General features: G+C 43.1%; 1 protein-coding gene across 3 annotated transcripts in view; it reads right to left on the reverse strand.

Annotated features, from left to right (window-relative positions):
• Window positions 1-17517, reverse strand: part of XDH (xanthine dehydrogenase) — an 80422-nt gene that overhangs the window by 26147 nt on the left and 36758 nt on the right. For 2 of the 3 annotated variants that reach the window (NM_000379.4, XM_011533096.3), the window contains exons 14-24: window positions 16586-16770; window positions 14913-15087; window positions 13406-13489; window positions 11761-11930; window positions 9888-10011; window positions 8074-8193; window positions 7494-7590; window positions 6403-6527; window positions 5509-5642; window positions 4990-5077; window positions 3691-3777 (exon numbers count right to left, since the gene is read on the reverse strand). In NM_000379.4, coding sequence (NP_000370.2) covers window positions 3691-3777; window positions 4990-5077; window positions 5509-5642; window positions 6403-6527; window positions 7494-7590; window positions 8074-8193; window positions 9888-10011; window positions 11761-11930; window positions 13406-13489; window positions 14913-15087; window positions 16586-16770 — 1389 coding nt within the window. The remainder of the gene's footprint in view (window positions 1-3690; window positions 3778-4989; window positions 5078-5508; window positions 5643-6402; window positions 6528-7493; window positions 7591-8073; window positions 8194-9887; window positions 10012-11760; window positions 11931-13405; window positions 13490-14912; window positions 15088-16585; window positions 16771-17517) is intronic. The other variant, XM_011533095.3, reaches the window with a different exon arrangement.

Raw genomic sequence — 17517 nt, forward strand, 5'->3', positions numbered from 1 at the left:
TCCAGCCTGGGTGACAGAGTGAGACTCCATCTCAAAACAAAAAATAAATAAAATAAATCACAAGCTGTCCTGAGTGATGAAATCTGATGATCTCCTGCTCTGTCCTGTGCGGGATGTGAATCTTCCCTTTGTCCTGCTTATCCACACTGTGTACTACCTGCCCCTTAGCCGCTTAGTCCCGCCTTGGTTGTCAGATTGAAAAAACATAGTCTATAAAGGGTTCAGTACTATCTGAGGTTTCAGGCACCCACTAGGGTTCTTGGAATGTATCTCCTCCTGCAGATAAGGGAAGATGACTGTATAACAAGGGGTTCAGTACTATCTGAGGTTTCAGGTGTCCACTAGGGTTCTTGGAATGTATCTCCTGCAGATAAGGGGAGATGACTGTATAACAAGGAGTTCAGTACTATCTGATGTTTCAGGCATCCACTGGGAGTCTTGGAATGTATCTCTTGCAGATAAGGGGAGACTACTGTGTTACATTTCAGCTTCCATAAAACTTTACTAATTTGGATTAAGAACACAAGCCTGATTTAGTAAAAAGTATCCATAAATATTCAGAGGTATAGTTTTGTTTCATCAAGTAAAAAGAGCAACTAATTCCAACTGTTGAAGTAGTAACAAGTAAAGACTTCACCAGGCTTGCCTTGATGAAGAATTAAGACATATTTTTAGGTCAACAGCACAAGATTGCTGAATAACTTGTATGCTACAAACACGCTCCTTCCACTCATCGTAACAGCCCAGCAATCTTTACTATTCCAACTTGCTGAGAACCATGTCAGATGTTGCCTTCAAGAATGAAATGTTTCTCAAAACTGTTCTATCAAATTTAGTAGCTATTGGACATAAAACAGGTAATTATTTCAGACTTTAGCCAGTTTTCATGAAGTATTTATCTCCAGCTTCAGTTTATTCCAACATTAATTTATGAAAGGACAGTTATTAAAATCAGCCATTTCTCAGACTGTAACTTTGAAATCATAAGAAATGGACAATTAAGCTCACTAGTCAAAATCTTGATTCAAGTGATGATCCAATAGCTTATAAATGTCTTCAATAAACTGAGCTTTGAAGCAGAACAAAAAACAGAAAAATCTAAAACCTCTCTATCCCAAGCACCAATAATGGAGGCTAAGCAATTATACCTACAAATCCTTAATGACAGGTCTCTCCTAATGAAAAATCCTGAGATTTAAGCACTATGACTTACAGAAGGCAGGTTGGCTTAATGAGGAAATTTACTTTCAATAAAAAGACAATCAGCAATATTTTATTTTGGACACTTAGCATTTCACAGATCCTCAATATGTTTTGAGGTAGGTCAAATATTAATAGTGTATTTTACAAACAAAACTCAAGCAGATGCTTTGTTACTTGTCCCAGACCACAGAAGCAGTTCTATCATGGTCAGGAATAATACGGTCTCTCTGATCTTTCAGATTAATCTTTCATGTGTGAATTTAATGGTAATTGCTTGCAAATATTCATGAAAGAAACAAAAGGCTAGATATAGAAATTCTACTTTGGGATATTTTAAACTCCTTAAATTTATCCTATAATGAGTATATACTTGCTCTCATTACAAATATATATATATATATAACTGATCTTTACAATTACAAATGAGCACAGGACTGACTATGTTGCTTTTCTGCCTTTTGGGGTGAGTAGAGCAGGAAGATAATCAGCAAGCTTTCCTCAGAGCACTAGGCAGCCTTTAACTGAAGGTGCTATGTTCGAGGCACCATTGACTATGATTTGGGATCACAGGGGAGCAGATGTACTAGTGGAACCAGGATTCAGAAAAGATGTCTGGATCCAAAAAGGGGAGGCTCTCTGCAAGTCATAGATGAAGAGAAAAACCATAACATCTCAAGCTACTGATCCTGAGTGTCACTCTATGGCATTACAACTACTTGTGAGAGGAGCTCCTACAAGAGCAGTAAGCTTGTCCCAGTAAAGCCTATTAAAGTTCTTACTAACTAGATAAGCCACAAGTAAAACTAAATTGGTATTTTATTAAAGTGACATCTATAGAAGCAAATATCTAAACATTTTTAATATGAGTTTTACCTGTCATGTAAATTCCTCATTGTCACAAGCCTAATTCAATTAGCTCGTCATAATTCCTAAAGTAATTTACTAAAATTCAGCTCATCTTGACATAGGTTCTTGAGCCAGTATTCCAAACTGTTTCATTATAAAGTTCCTTTTATTTAAACAATTGTAGAATATTAGTAATAATAAAGCCCAGCTCTCCCAGTGCCTGCCGGGCCGCCTCCGCCCATGAAAATGCGATCATTTCTTAAAATGTTAAGCTCACCACAGATTCAGCAATTCTATTCCTAGGAATTTAGTCAAGAGAAATCAAAATACATGTCTACATAAGGCTAGTATGAGAGTGTTCAGAGCAGTATTATGCATAAAAGCAAAAAACTGGAAACAACACAAATGTCCATCAAGTGGTGAATGGGAAACAACATATGGTATATCCCTATGATGGAATATTATTCATCAATGAACAGGAGTGACGTAGTGATACATGCTATAATATAGATGGGCCGGATGCAGTGGTTCACGCCTGTAATCCCAGCACTTTGGGAGGCTGAGGAGGGCTGATTACTTGAAGTCAGGAGTTCGAGACCAGCCTCATCAACATGGTGAAACCCTGTCTCTACTAAAAATACAAAAATTAGCCAGGCATAGGGGTGCATGCCTGTAATCCCAGCTACTCGGGAGGCTGAGACAGGAGAATCGCTTGAAGCTGGAGGCAGAGGTTGCAGTGAGCCAAGATCGTGCCACTGCACTCCAGCCTGGCGACAGAGTGAGACTCTATCTCAAAAGAAAGAATAATAATAAAAACATAGATGAACCTACAAAACATTATTCTGAGAGAAAGACACCAAACAGAAAAAACTACATAGTGTATGGTTCTATAAAATGACTTGACTACAAGACGGAAAGTAGATTAATGATGACCTGGGCCTATGGAATGGTAATGGGAATGACTACAAATGATGCAAGACATCATTCTGGGGTGATGGGAGTTCAAACACTGGATTGTGACAGTGGTCTAACAACTCTTGAAATTTACTAACAACCATTAAATTATATACTTCAAATGGATTAACTTTATGGTATGTAAATTATACTTCAATGAAACCATTTTTTAAAAAGCAATTCGAATTATTTAAAATTAAAACATCACAGAAATGTGTAACACAGAAAATGACAGTGTGTACGCCTCTCAATACCATTCCAATCGTTGTTAACAATTTGATCATCACTGCTAACAGTTTGGTATATGTTCCTTCAGACACTTTTCCACGCATGCTATATATAGTAATATATATTAGTATTAGTTTATATGTTACTGTATATATATATTACTATTCCATGCATATGTACACACACACAATGCCACCACACTATACATAAAACATTGTAACTAACTTGCTAGCTTGGCAAATTATCTTGAACAGGAAGGATGGGTTTTTAACCAGAGAAATAATACGATCATCATTGTGCTATAGAGATTAATCGAGGATGGGAAACCTGAAGGTGGGGACCCATTAGGAGACTACTGCAACAGTAGCAAGCAGGGACTGGGGAGGCCTGTGCCTGCGTGGGAACAGGCTGACCTCGAAGTCAGCTCTGGGTGCAGGGGCGGCTGCAGGTCCTACTCACACTCTGAGAGAGATCCTGGGTGTTCCCCACATTGCTGAAGTGGTCCACCTCAAGAGCCACAACTGTCCCAGTCTTCATGAAGCCAACCTGATAAAAGGAGAAAGGAGAGGGATTTATCATAAGTCCCGTTTCCCCCACCTCTCTGTCTCCCTCTGATCCTCCCTCCCACTTATGTCACCTGGAGGAAATAAACAGAACACCACATCATCCCGTGAAAAAAAGGTGACCTTCAGAAGTCACCAGAAGGTAACAAGTGAAGAAGAGAGGAACTGACCTCTCCCCAGTGGCACACACTTGGCTCCCCACCCCTGGAAGCCCTTGTCCCCACACCTCTTCCTCCTGCTACCGGCACCTGGCTTCTGGTCTCGGAGGGGAGTAAGGAGGTTGGAAAGAGAAGGCTGGTCACGATAGGGCGGGGGGGAAGCGCAGGGAAGAGAAACTAGGAAAGATACCGGACTGTCTCCTCACAGATTTTGGTCAGAAGACACAAAAAGTTTCATTTCACAGGAGCACGCAAATCCTTGACCTTATGTACACTGTTAAAATACCCTTTACAGGCTGTTTTACACACACGGAAACTGGGACCCCAGAAGATCAAGGAATCCTCTTCAGGCCCACAAGAATTTGGGGCTAAGAGAAATATAATCCCTTGCTGGGAGTTAAATCATGAAACAAACTCAGAATAGGTCAAAGGCCATGTTCAAGGCCAATTCATGGAGAGAGGGCTCTCAGGTTTCTAGAGCTAGGCGGAGCCCCATAAGGCTTTGCTGATGTGTACAGGGAAAGGGTGCATTGGTCATCCACAGAAACCCAGAAGAGGGACTGTCCCAGAGAGAAGTGTGGACCGTGTCCAACCATGGTCTGGAAAAGTACATACCCATCCTAACATCTTGGGCCTGTCCAGGCCCCTGGGAAGTTTTATTTCTCACAGTAAATTACTAAGCTGTCATTCCAATTTTTACATCAGGCCTGTGATCATGTTAATGTTGGGCTACCAAGCGCGATGGTTTACCCTGAGTATGCTGGTGAATCATGTTTCTGAGCCTGACCAGACTCAGAACACAGCAAATCCACAGAAGTCACGAATGCCACCCTTGGGAGATGGGGTGCCAGCCTCCCTCAGCACTACCTTTCTGTGTTGCTGTTAGCCTATTTGAATTTCTCTTCTTGCTATATCTTATTTGAACTTCTACAGATAGGCAAAAAGTAGGAGTGCAGCTCAGGATGCCTGGACATTCGGTCCCAGCTTTCCTCACAAAATGGCTCATCCCGCCCCAGCACAGCCCCAACATCTAGAACCTTGTATCTGGCCAGGAAGGGATGTCTGCCACCAGTTATCAGCATGTCCTCATCACGGTCCAGCATGCATCGCACAGGGCGGCCGGTCCTGGGGGTTACCGACAGTGTTAGAAGCCTGTGAGCCTTCAACAGCAGCTCAGCCCTGCAAGTCTCAGAATAAAAACAGCCGGGAAGCCATCTTTTCCACCTGCACGCTGAGCAGACCTGTACAGGGCTGCTTTGCCATCTAGGCACTGTGATAGACAAGGTGGAGAATATAAGGAAGCGAGGTATGTGCTTTCATTTAGAGAGCTCACAGCCAGTAGGAGAGATCAGAGGTGGATACCTGTGCCAGACCACAACGGAACAGGCGATGTTACCCTCCCACTATGCCCAAGGGTTCTAAAAACAGAGGGCTGTGAGAATTCAAAGCAGGGGGAAACTAATTCTAACAGGGGGAAGTCCTGAAAACCTTCCTGGCACAGACAGCCTTATTCTTCTTCCCAGAGCCAGATGGGAGAAACAGGCTTTGGAACTCACTTATATGCAGCCAGGGCCACTGCCGTGGACACCACAGTGCTCCGGGTCTCCTTGCCTCCAAAGCCTCCTCCCATTCTCTTCACTCGAACCACAATCCGGTTTGCTGGAACCCCCAACATTTTTGCAACAAAGCTCTGTGAGTGAAAGACAGAACATTCGCACTGAATGCATTACCTGAACTTATTTCAGGCCTAAGGCAGAGCCTGTCCAACATGCATGGACCTAATTACTGCTGCGAATTCTGAAATTCCTTGATTGAAAATCCCATGCAGCTTTGTGGTTAGTGATGCTGGGGCCTGCCAGACTGAATTCAGCATTGGTTTTTAACCAGAGGGCAAGCAGTTGGTCACAGAATACTTTTAGAAACTTATTCTGTCTGACCAGGTGACCAGCGACTGGTAGATCATGAGAGTAGGACCAGCTGCCGAAAACACTGGCAACCGCTGTCACATTACAGGCAGTAGAGAAACAAAGAATATTTGAGCTGCTGTAGATAATTTAGTGGTCCCTGTGGCTATGACTTAATCCAACACCTTCATTTTACATATGAGGAAACTGAGGCAGGATATGACTTGACCGAGGCCATAGGCACTGAAATGATAACTGCCAACATGTACCAAACTCTAGTCTAAATATTAAAACTCATCTAATAATTATGACAACCCACCCAGGCCCCATTTTATAAATGAGAAAACTGAGGCTGAGAAAGGTTATGGAACAAGGTCAGTGATACCAGCTTGTTGGTGAAAGAGTCTGGCTCCAGGACTATGACACTCGAGTACCCTCTGGACCAGCCCACATCTCCCTCTTCCTATTTCCCACATGGCCCTCCTGGTCTGCTAGGAGCTCCCCGCTACCCTGACAGCCCCTTGAGCTGACCCAAAAGGCATCTACCTGGGTCTTCATGGTGTTCTGTGTAGACACAAAGAGCTCCATCTCCCCTGCCTCGCCTTTTGGAACAGCAATGGTGCAGTGAGTCTCCAGGTAGAAGTGCTCTTGGCCACCGATGTATATCTCCCCTGGGGAAGCAGTGAGATCCCTCACAGTGAGCCCAATGCTGCAGAAGGGGCCAGCTTGCCTAAGGAGAGAGTATACTCTGCCAAGTGGTCTGGGCAGGAAGCAATGGCTACCTGAGGGGTAACCTCAAGGTTTCCCACTTGGGGTGGAAAAGGATCCCAAAGTCTTAGCTATCTGGGAGCTGAGTGCTCCAGCCTCATCCCCACCCCCACAACAAAGAAAGAACGACACTGAAATGCATCCAGTCCAAAGTTCTCTTCTCACTGCAGCTTATGGAAATCAAGGATTTCAAAAACCATCATTGTAAAATTTTGGAAAAAGTAAAGCAGGGATTAATAGATGTGATTGAAACACTGAAAACCAGCGCATGTTCCCGAACCTAAGCTACCAGGCCTGGTGGAGAGTCGGCTTCATACCAGGCTTGTTGGAGAGTTGGCTTCATAGTGACTTTGCAAAGCACAACAGCCAATGTAAAAAACAGTTCCAAAAGAGGTAGTCAGCTGTGTTGTCCTGGGGTGGGAGCAATGGATTTGATTTCACAGTGTCAGAGACAGAGGTGGAGGGAGAGCAGGGCAAAGGGAAGAGGAGGGAGGATGCTAGTTGAAGATGGGTAAGGACTGCCTTCAGGTAGGGGGAGGATGAGAATTTATGCGGTTAGAGGCCTGGCAGACCTAAGGCTGTCAGGCATATGTGGCTGTTATCATCCCTAGTTGGTCTTCCGGATCAGAATACTCTAGAATCTCTCTAGAATCATTAGGTCCAGCCTAGAGACAGGAGAGTAGAGATTAAGATAACTGAAGCTCTTTCCCATCCAACTGTCTCCTATTTTGCTACAAACGTAAGAGGGAATCTTCTGTCAGGAAATGTCCAGAAATCACTTCCCTGCTTCAGGGTTCAATGCATATCTCTTGAATTTAATTTGCAAACCAGGGCCACCCCATTCCCACTGCGGCATGGAACAGCTCTACCTGACACAACATTATCTGCTTCGGAAAACCCCTTCTTTAGGTCCCCTTTCTCGATCTTCAGCTCAGGTCCATAAAAGGAGTTGTTCTTTATAGCATCCTGAGGATCACAAAGAAGTTTCAGAAATGTGGCTTTTAGCAGGGAGGGAAAGATAGGTTCTGATTAGGGAAAGAGAAGCTCTCTGAATTGTTGACTCTCTCTTTCCATAAATGAATCTCTATATGCTTCACATACAGACTTGAAGTAAGCTCTACTATAGCCCAGAGAATCATATTCCTCCATTTCCTCAGCTGTAGGTGGACAACCCTGGACCTTGAGGAAAAGCAAAGAATACCACAAGGACCAGATGGAGGTAAAATTTTGAGAAGGAGGAACTCAGTTTGGCTGTTGTTAGTGGACTGGGCATAAGATCATAAAGGGGAAGGTTTCATGGGACCCCAAATCCCAGGGTTGAAAGGGATTTAAAAACCCATCTAGTCAAATCCCTACCTGCTGCTCAAATCCCCTCCAGGGGATCCTAATACATGCACATCCAGGGACGGGGAGCTCACTCCTCTACACAGGCAGCCCATTCTCAGTTACCTCAATTGTGATAATGGCTGGTAGTTCTTCATAGGTGATTTTCACCCCTTGGGCAGCTCTCTGTGTGTGTTCCGGGGTGTCAGCAACCACAGCACCAATGATATGCCCAACACAAGTAACCTAGTAGCAGAGACAGACTGTTAAAGAACGCAACCAGGCTCATGGTGAAACAAATTATTTTTGGATTGTTCAAAAAGCCAAAAGAAGTCCCTGCCCTCACAATCAAAGCACACTTTAGGAATGCCCTAGGGCCTCTTAATTTCCTTATCCTACTGATTGAGGATCACTAGGATCAAGATGGCAAACACATTTCATCTCAAGGGCCAATTCTGAGTATTTAGTACTGGCAGACTATTGAGAAGCTGAACCAGATAGAATGTGGCAATTGATTCCTTGTTTGCCATGAGCAGAAAGGGGGATATGGCACCAGGAAGTGCATTTGTCAATTCGGATTCACTCCAACACCATTGGTCTTCCTATGGAGACTCAGAAGGCAAGGCCACATTTGGCTAGTTACTATTGACAGATCATGACTAACCTTAGGCCCTGACCCCCAGTTTTATTTTCTTTTCACCTCACCACTCTCTTTTATGTTCTATTTCCCAGATTTATACCAAAAGCTTCTCAAAGGCTGTAAAGGCTGTAAGCATCAATATAAGGCCTGTAAGACACGTACTTACAAGACATGATACTTTAAGTATCATGTCTTATACTTCAACTAATACCCAAAAGCAGTAGCTCTCAAATACTGGTTCTTAGACTTGATGACCCATAAAAATATTTTTAAAAATTTATATGATAATGATTGTTGTTTTATTTTGTTTAATAATTCAGTTTCATAAAAGCTTAATGGATCTCCTTCAGAGATAATTGTCATCCAACATCCCCGAAAAAGTAAACAACAAAAAATTTTTGTACAACACATCACTTTAGAAGATGAAGTTTCTGACAATAGGAACCAACAATTAGTATGCATGTCTCTGATAATTATCTCTTATGGCCCAAATAAGCTATTGACTCAGTTGGTTAGTGCAATGGTGGTTAAATCTGGCTGTTGGTTATTGCAATGGTGGTTAAATCTGGCTGACTTTCACTAGCCATAATGCTAGCACTGCTCTGAGAAGCTCTTAAAGTATGTAAAGCAATTTGTTCTTCTATGAAATGCTCTCCTCATGGAGTCTTTGTTCTCATATTTTTAGTTTTTTGTTATCTCCTTCACTTTTACATCAATAATAAGATGAATTCACTCTTCAGAAGTACCCACTCATGTCTAATTTGCAACATTGGATGTCTATTGGAATTACAAAATGACTGTCGAGAACTATCCTATGAGTAAAATATAAGGACTTTTGTAGCAGCTGTCTTAAACATTTGAAAAATTTTGTTTGTTGTTGAAGAATTCCACATAGTTGAAATCAATAGATAAACTTTCATGTAAGTGAATTACCAATTCACGTAGTGGTGGTATTGTGATTTCTAGTTAGTGTACTAAATGTATTCTTATTTTATTTTAATTAAAGAGCTTACTGTTGTCCCTTAAGAACCGAATTGTTAGTTCAAATGCAATCACCAGTGTTGTTTTACTGCCACTTTGGCATAGAGACATCCTGCCATGTACAAACAGCAGCCATCAATTAAATAAACAAGTAACATATTCTATCTTTTTGGATTGTCCTGAATATGGGCCAACTGGATGATGGCCATAATCCATGCAAATGTATAACCTTTCCAGATCAGGAGTTTGGAGCAATGTACACAAATTAAAACTTCAATACTTATTCAATTTACTTCATATAAAAAAATCCAAGACTTACCTTATCCTTCGCAAAGACTGTCTCATCATTACAAATTCCAGTTATGTTACTCCCAGGAACATCATCAGCGGAAATGAAACAAACAAACCCTGGAACCTTCTTAGCTTCTGATGTATCTATGGACCTGCAAGAATGAGTGGTGTGAGGGGCCAGGTCAGCAAGCTGGAGCAGGGGACCCATCACCTGGTTGGACAACCCTGTTCTTATTTTGATTGGCTTGGCTCCATCCTAATTCCTCGATTCTCTGCTTCTTTTCTATTAGATTCTAATTCAATTATATCCTATTCTGCAAATGTTGATTAAATCCTCACCATGTTCAGGCCACTATGCTGAATGTTGCTGGGGATATAAAGTGAATAAGCCAGCCAGGCACAGTGGCTCATGCCTATAATCCCAGCACCTTGGCAGGTCAAGGTGGGAGGATCACTTGAGCCCAGGAGTTTAAGACCAGCCTGGGCAACATAGCAAGATCCTGTCTCCATTTAAAAATAAATAAAGTGAAGAAGGCAGGCCAGGCCTCTTTGGATGTTACGTGATGCTCTGTCTGGTCTCCAAGTACAAGCAAGCCATATCAGAACGAACAGCACTTACTCTGGAGCGCTCTGGCTCATGCACACATCACACCTAACTCCCTCCCAAAATCAGCACATGGAGCCCGGCTGTGCCACTGATCCAATGGCCCTGAACAGCTTCATAAAGCTGGATTTGTCTCCCCACATTCATTGTGCTATCCCAGCATGACAGGGCATCCTACCATAATTAGGCAACACGAACCGCAAAGGGAGAATGCCCGACTATATGATCAAGGATAACAGTCTCAACTATGTACTCATCACACTGGCACATGCCCCCATGGGGAAATAGGGCAACACATTTCAGGGAAAGGTATGTAAACTGCCCTGAAGTTCTAACCATCTTCCAAATGCTTAATCCTCACAAGAAACCCTGAAAGTACTTATCCTAATTCCCATTTTATGTTTGGGGAAACTCAGACTCAAGGAAGTTAGGTAGTTTTTCCAAAGTCACTAAGCCAGAAAGCAGTGTGACTGGGATTATTGGAACTGAGGTTAAGTTAGGAGGGTTAAGCTCTGTCCTGCCAAACCCACTTCCAAGTGTGTGCAGCCCAGGAAGGCCCCAACTGTTGCAGTTACAACAATGTCAACCCCCTCATCCTCTTCCATCCATTCACACATTGCTTGGATGGAGGTGGTTTGAGCGTAGACAATGTGGGTTATGGTATTGTCAATATGGGCTCAAGACAAGGAACAAAAGGGAAAGAATGTATCCTATAGCTGCCAACCATGGGAACTTAAACACTTTTTTTTTTGTTTTCAGGGACCTGGACAAGTTTATTTATCTGTTAGATTTCAGCTGTGCCTGGTTCACCATTCCTGGAGGGATCCCGTCTCCAAACTAGGAGCAGCAGCAGAGAAAAGACCAATGACAAGGAAACCTGATTCCTAGTCCACACAGTGGGCCCAAGGAAGGGCTTTTCCTAGCTGATCTGCTCAGCAGGGTATGTGTCTAACGCCCACCAGGAAGTGAAGTTCACACTCTCTGGCTTGAACATCCTGAGGCAGCACAACACAGTTGCTCACGTTGCTTGGCTTCAAATTCCAACTCTGCCACTTACCAACTGTGTGGCCTGGGGCAAGTAACATACCCTGCTTGTGCCTTAGTTTCCTCATCTGGAACAGAGAGATAATAATAGGACCTGCCTATAAGGTCTTCCCCTCTCTCTAGCCTGGGAGGTCCTGGAGGCACCTCATTATCTTTGCATCTCCATGGCCTAGCAGGGTGAGAGAAGTCTCCTGGGTACTCCCAGTGGCCCCCTCACAGCATTCCACCAGCTCCTCCTGGCGGTGTCACTCACTTGATCTTGGCGTGGGCCCGGGTGCTGGTGACCAGCCGGAGAGACAGCTCATTCTCGTAGCGAGGAATGTCGTCACAGTACACGGCCTCACCAGAGGCCTGCATGTCCGCTGCCAGGTGGGGCAGGGGCCGGCCCACCATGTCCTCCTCAGACTGACCCTTGGGCACCTCCTGGAATGACAGGGTCATCAATCAGGGTGAGCTGCCAAGGACACTGCCCCTCTATGGGCCCAGGGGACACTGGTGAGCTTCATGCTACATGGCAAAGGACACCAAGGGGTAAGAATAAAGAATTCAGAGGGGCGTGGGGCAAAGGGAACAGGAAGGTGCATAAGTGATAGCAAGGGTGGTCCTAGTGTTGTTATATAAAAGAACAACAAGAAAAAGAAGAACCTACATTTCCACTAATTGGGGATTGGGTAAATAAATTATGCAGCCCCATATAACACAATAGTATGCAACCATTAAAACATACTTTTGAAGAACTTTAATTAGAAGGATTGTTCATGCAAGCATAAAAACGTGACGCAAAACATTTGTGTTTGTGTTTGACAATAATTCAATTATGTAGGAAAAGATAATATATGCTATAAATATAGTATATACATGTCCATATACACATAGGAAATAATGAAAAGAATTAAACAAAAATATAATAATAATTTGCTCTCGGAGGTGGAATTTTTGGTGATTTTTATTTTCTTCTTTATGCTTTTCTGTATTTTCTAAAATGTTTTAAATTATTGATCTCATAATAAAGTTCTGTTTTTGTTTTACAAAGTAATCATAACAATGGCTAATGTTTATTGAGTGTTTCACCATATCCCAGGGACCATCTAAGCAATTTACTTTTATTAACACATTTAATCCTCAAAACCATCTTATGAAACAGGTATGTGATTATCCACATTTGCAGGTGGGTATAATTAACTTGCTTAAGAGGCACACAAGGGAATAAGTAAGTTGTTCAAGGTTGCACAATTAGGAAATGGCAGAGTGTGGACACAAATTCAGGCAGTCAGGTTCCAGAGTTCATGCCTGGGACGACTACACTCTAGTGTGCAGGGGGCAGTAAATTGTGGCATGGGGGCCAACACAAGCCCACTGCCTGTTTTTGTAAATAAAGTTTTATTGGAAGGCAACACACTCATTCATTCCTGTTTTTCCTGTGGCTGCTTTTGTGCTACAATGACAGAGTTGAGAAGTTGCAATAGAAACCATCTGGCCCACAAAATCTAAAATGTTTTCAGGAAAAGTTTGCTGACCCTTTACGTAGCACCTCTCAAAAAGCTGGAGCAGATAGATGGTTTGTTTGTTTGTTTGTTTGTTTGTTTGTTTGTTTTAGCATACTCAAGAAGACGTCTGGCTTTGTACATTATCCATCACGTAAAAAAAAAAAATCTGTAAGGAAGAGGGGCAGCTAAGAGTTTAATCCCAAAGAGAGAAATTTAGGCAAACAAGGGAGAAATAGTGACATTAACATCTATACGATTCCCATTTTCTTCACTGGGTATTTACGCACAAGAGTAAGGAGTTTTATGGACCTATATACAATTCAAGTTAGTCATTAGCCGATGGTCAGCCACTAGCCAACTCATGTGGCCTGCAAAGTCCCCTGATATTAGCCATACACTGACCGTACTCACTTGGAAGAGCTGGACATCGGCTGGGGGGTCTTTCTGAAACAGTAAAGTTGCACTGGCGAAAGTGGGGTCCAGTTTACCACACTTCTGTGGAGACAAGAAAACAGAGGTGACCAGGATTATATTTCAATCACTGATTCCTTCCTTGCTTGTCCATAAAAATGACCAAACTGATAACTGATCCCCTTGTCTCTTCACTTCATACGCCTTTGAGTGCTGGCTGGATCTCTCAGCATCCAAACACGGGCTCTGAGAGCTCAGAATTTAAGAGCAGCCTCAGCTTCACTGCTAGCCCCCCAGTGGACCCTGTAGACTGAATGGTCTGTACTTTCTCCAACACCCCAAACTCTTTCCCTCCTTCTTGCATTTATGCCTGCTGCTGTCTCTGTTGGGAGTATCCTTCTCCTCCTTCCTTGCCCTCCTCAATTCTGTGGGAAGCATTTAATGATATGGAAAATGTTCACAATATAATCCCAATGGAAGCAAAGGGGGATTTAAAGCGCTATATGCAGTGTGGTCCCAAGTCTATTTAGAAAATAATATATCCACATCAAAAGATAGGAAGATGACAGATATTGATAGATGGATGGAAGGACAGATAGAAACAGAGAGAGAGAGAGATGGGGCAGACAAACAGTATGACAGATAGATGGACAGATAAATGCAGGAAAAAAAATCAGAGGAAATAACCAAAATACTTGGCAGTGGTTTTCTCTGGGATTTGAGAGTAAGAGTAATTTTAGGTTTTCTTTATCCAATCCTGTATTTTTAAAGTTCTTTTCTTAAAGAAGGATTTATCTCTGCTGTCCCTGCATCAGTGACATCCTCTCCACTTTGGGCTCCCTCCACACTCCATCTCTGCAGTTGTCTCCCAAGTGTGGCCTTTATTGTCCATGTTCTCCCCGACACTGAGCTGCCCCCTAGCACCTCATGCAACCTGGCATAGGATAGGTGCAAAATAAATTCTTGGTGAACAAATCTCAGGAGCTGGGCCCACCTCAGCCTGCACTCTCTCTTGAAGACATATCCTATGGATTCCACGGCCTCCTGGCTATTGCAGCCCCACCTGACATTCCCATTCCACCCTACATACTCATCACACTCTGCATTCCCTTTCTTTTTTTCCTTTCTTTCTTTCTTTCTTTCTTTCTTTCTTTTTTTTTTTTTTTTTTTGAGACAGAGTTTCGCTCTTGTAGCCCAGGCTAGAGTGCAATGGCATGATCTTGGCTCACTGCAACCTCCACCTCCCGAGTTCAAGTGATTCTCCTGCCTCAGCTTCCCACGTAGCTGAGATTACAGGGCAAGAACCTCTGTCGCCAAAGCCCAGCCCAGCACTCTGCCTCTAAGCCAGCTGGTCACTCCCATTTCCAAGATTCTTGTGCTGTGACCCTGGTCCCTGCTATTCTGCCCTCAGATGTCCAGAGGAGAGGAGCAAATTTACTACCCAGACCAACTTCTTATATCCCCAAACATGCTACAGAGAGCCTGTGCCTGGCCAGGCCCCACTCACGTCTTCCAGGTTCTCTTGGCCCAGCTTCTGAAGGACTGTCAGGTAGAACTTGAAGAAGAAGCTGAGGGTGAGGGTGCACCGGAAGTCCACCATGCCACCAGGGGCATCGGGAGGCAGATGCAGCTCCTCTGCCAGTCCTGCACACACGTCCTGCAGCAGCTCCTCCTTCCAGAGCCTGCCAGAGAGCAGGGCGTGGGACAGCGCTCCCGCCCAGCCCTCCAGACCCCTTTGTGTAGAGCTGTGTGCCCAGGGCCTCGGAGCTGTACAAAGCTTGGTTCAAAATTTGGCTTGGATACTTAGAGTTGGGTGACTTTAGGCAACTTTAATTAATCTCATTGAGCCTGTTTCCTCATCTTCAAAAATAGATACAATTTTAAAAGACCACCAAAATAATAACAGTTAAAATCTATCAAGTCCTCACAATGTGCCAGGCAACATCTTAAGTGTTTTATATGAATTCTCACTTTTAATTTAAATTTGAAAATGTAGTAAGCAAAATTCCTACACCCATTTACCAATGAGAAAACTGAGGCACACGGAGATTAAGTAACTTGACTTATGTTATCTATTTGGTAAATGACAAAGCCAGGAATTTCGGAACCAAGGAACCAAACTCCAAGTTAAGCTTTATTGATCCTATGTGGGTGCTGTAAGGATTTCCTAGGATAATGTTAGTGAAGTGTTCGGTACAATTTCTGTTATATAATAACCATAGAAATAGTAATAGTAGTAGCAGTAGTACTAATCACAGCCATAGTGGTAGCAATAGTAGCAATAACAGAGCAGTAGTAGTAGCATCAGCATCAATACTACTAGTAATAATACTAGCAACAGCAATAATAGTTGCAGTAGTGGTAACAAGATAGATAGTAGTAGTAGAAGTAGTAATAGTCATAGAAGCAGTTGTCATAGAATCAACAGCAACAGTAGTAATAATAGTAGTAACAGAAGCAATGCCAAAAAGTAGCAGTCATAGCACCAGCAGCATCAATAACAGCAGTAATACTACTGTTAGTAGTAATAGTAGCAGCAGCAATACTAGTAGCAATAGTAATAGTAGTAGTAGTAGCAGTAACAGTAGTAGTAGTAGTAATTTCAGTAGCAATAATATTAGAAGCAGTAATGTTATTAGTAAAATACTAGTATAACAGCAGTAATAGTAGTAGTAGTACTAATAGAGTAAGCGGTAGAAGAGGCAGCAGTAGTATTAGCAATAGTAATAGTAATAACAGCAATAATACTAATCATAATAGTGACAGTAGGAATTGCAGCAGTGATCATAGCTGCAGTGATAGTAGTAGCAACAGTAGTCATAGTAATAGCAATAATGAGTAACAGTAGTAATTTTAGTAGAAGCAGCTGGAGTAGTAGCAATCATAATATTAATTATAGTTGCAATAATAGTAACAATAGTAGTAGCAGCAATGGTAATAGCATAGCAGTGGCAATACTCCTAGTAGTAATACTAGTAGTAGTATCGGTAATAGTAGTAGTAGCAACTGTGGTTATAGTAGAAGTAGAAGTGGTAGCAGTAGTAGCAGCAGTAGCAGTAGTTATGGTAGTAGTAGCAGCAATAGTAATACTACTGGTAGTCATAGTAGCAGCAGCAGTAACAATGATACTATTAGTAGCAGCAACATTAGCAGCAGTTTCATTGTGCTGTTAGCTCTTACTTGGAAAGCTGCCTCTGAGTGGTCTTGAGGGCTGAGATGGTTCTGTTGGCCATTCCACCATAGCAAAGGGCCAGCTCCTGTACCTCTGTGGTTCCTGGCTTGAATAAAACTCTCATGCCACTGGTTACCTTGGCAATGTCATCTTCTCTCCGGGAGGCCTGCTTGAATGCTGAGAAATACTCCCCCTAAAAGAGATCAGGAAGGTGCCTGTTTTCCACCTTGCTCTGTAGGGGCTGCAAATGGCAGACCCAAACCACAGGGCTATGAGGTGAGGTGAGGGGATAACACCATCACACATCAGTGGGTGAACTGGCCCCGGGAATCAAAGATCAAATGTAACTGATTACCACCTGTTTAGGAGAGGTTCCAGATAACATTCCCAGAAGCTGAAAAAAAAAACAGGATTTCTCCCTGCTAGTCAGAAAAGCTGAGGGTCAGGGACAAAGTAGAACTGGGTGGTCTCCATTGAACAACAGCTGCAGGGGAAGAAGGGTGCTTTCACAAAGGCTCCTTAGAGACCCCTCATCCCCCTTACCTTCCCTACCCTGGTGCCCACTATCAGTGCCCACCCAGCCTCTCTGGGGACTGAGGCTGTTTGGCCTTTGGCATCCTCTGTTTGTGGCCTCCACAGTGCCCTCTCTAACCTGCCTCTCCCACCAGTCTGTTGGCATCGTTCAGAAATCTTGGTGAAAGAACCCGGGCACAGTGGCTCACGTCTGTAATCCCAGAGGCCTAGGTGGGAGGAGTACTTAAAACCAAATGTTCAAGACCAGCCTAGGCAACATAGTGAGGCCCTATCTCTACAAAAAAAAAAAAAAATTAGCCAGGTGTGGTGGTGCACACCTGTGGTCTCGGCTACTTGGGAGGGTGAAGTGAGAGGATCACTTGAGCCTGGGACATTGAGGCCACACTGAGCCGTGATCATGCCACCA

Source organism: Homo sapiens, chromosome 2 (assembly GCF_000001405.40).
Source record: "Homo sapiens chromosome 2, GRCh38.p14 Primary Assembly".
Classification (NCBI taxonomy): Eukaryota; Metazoa; Chordata; class Mammalia; order Primates; family Hominidae; genus Homo; species Homo sapiens.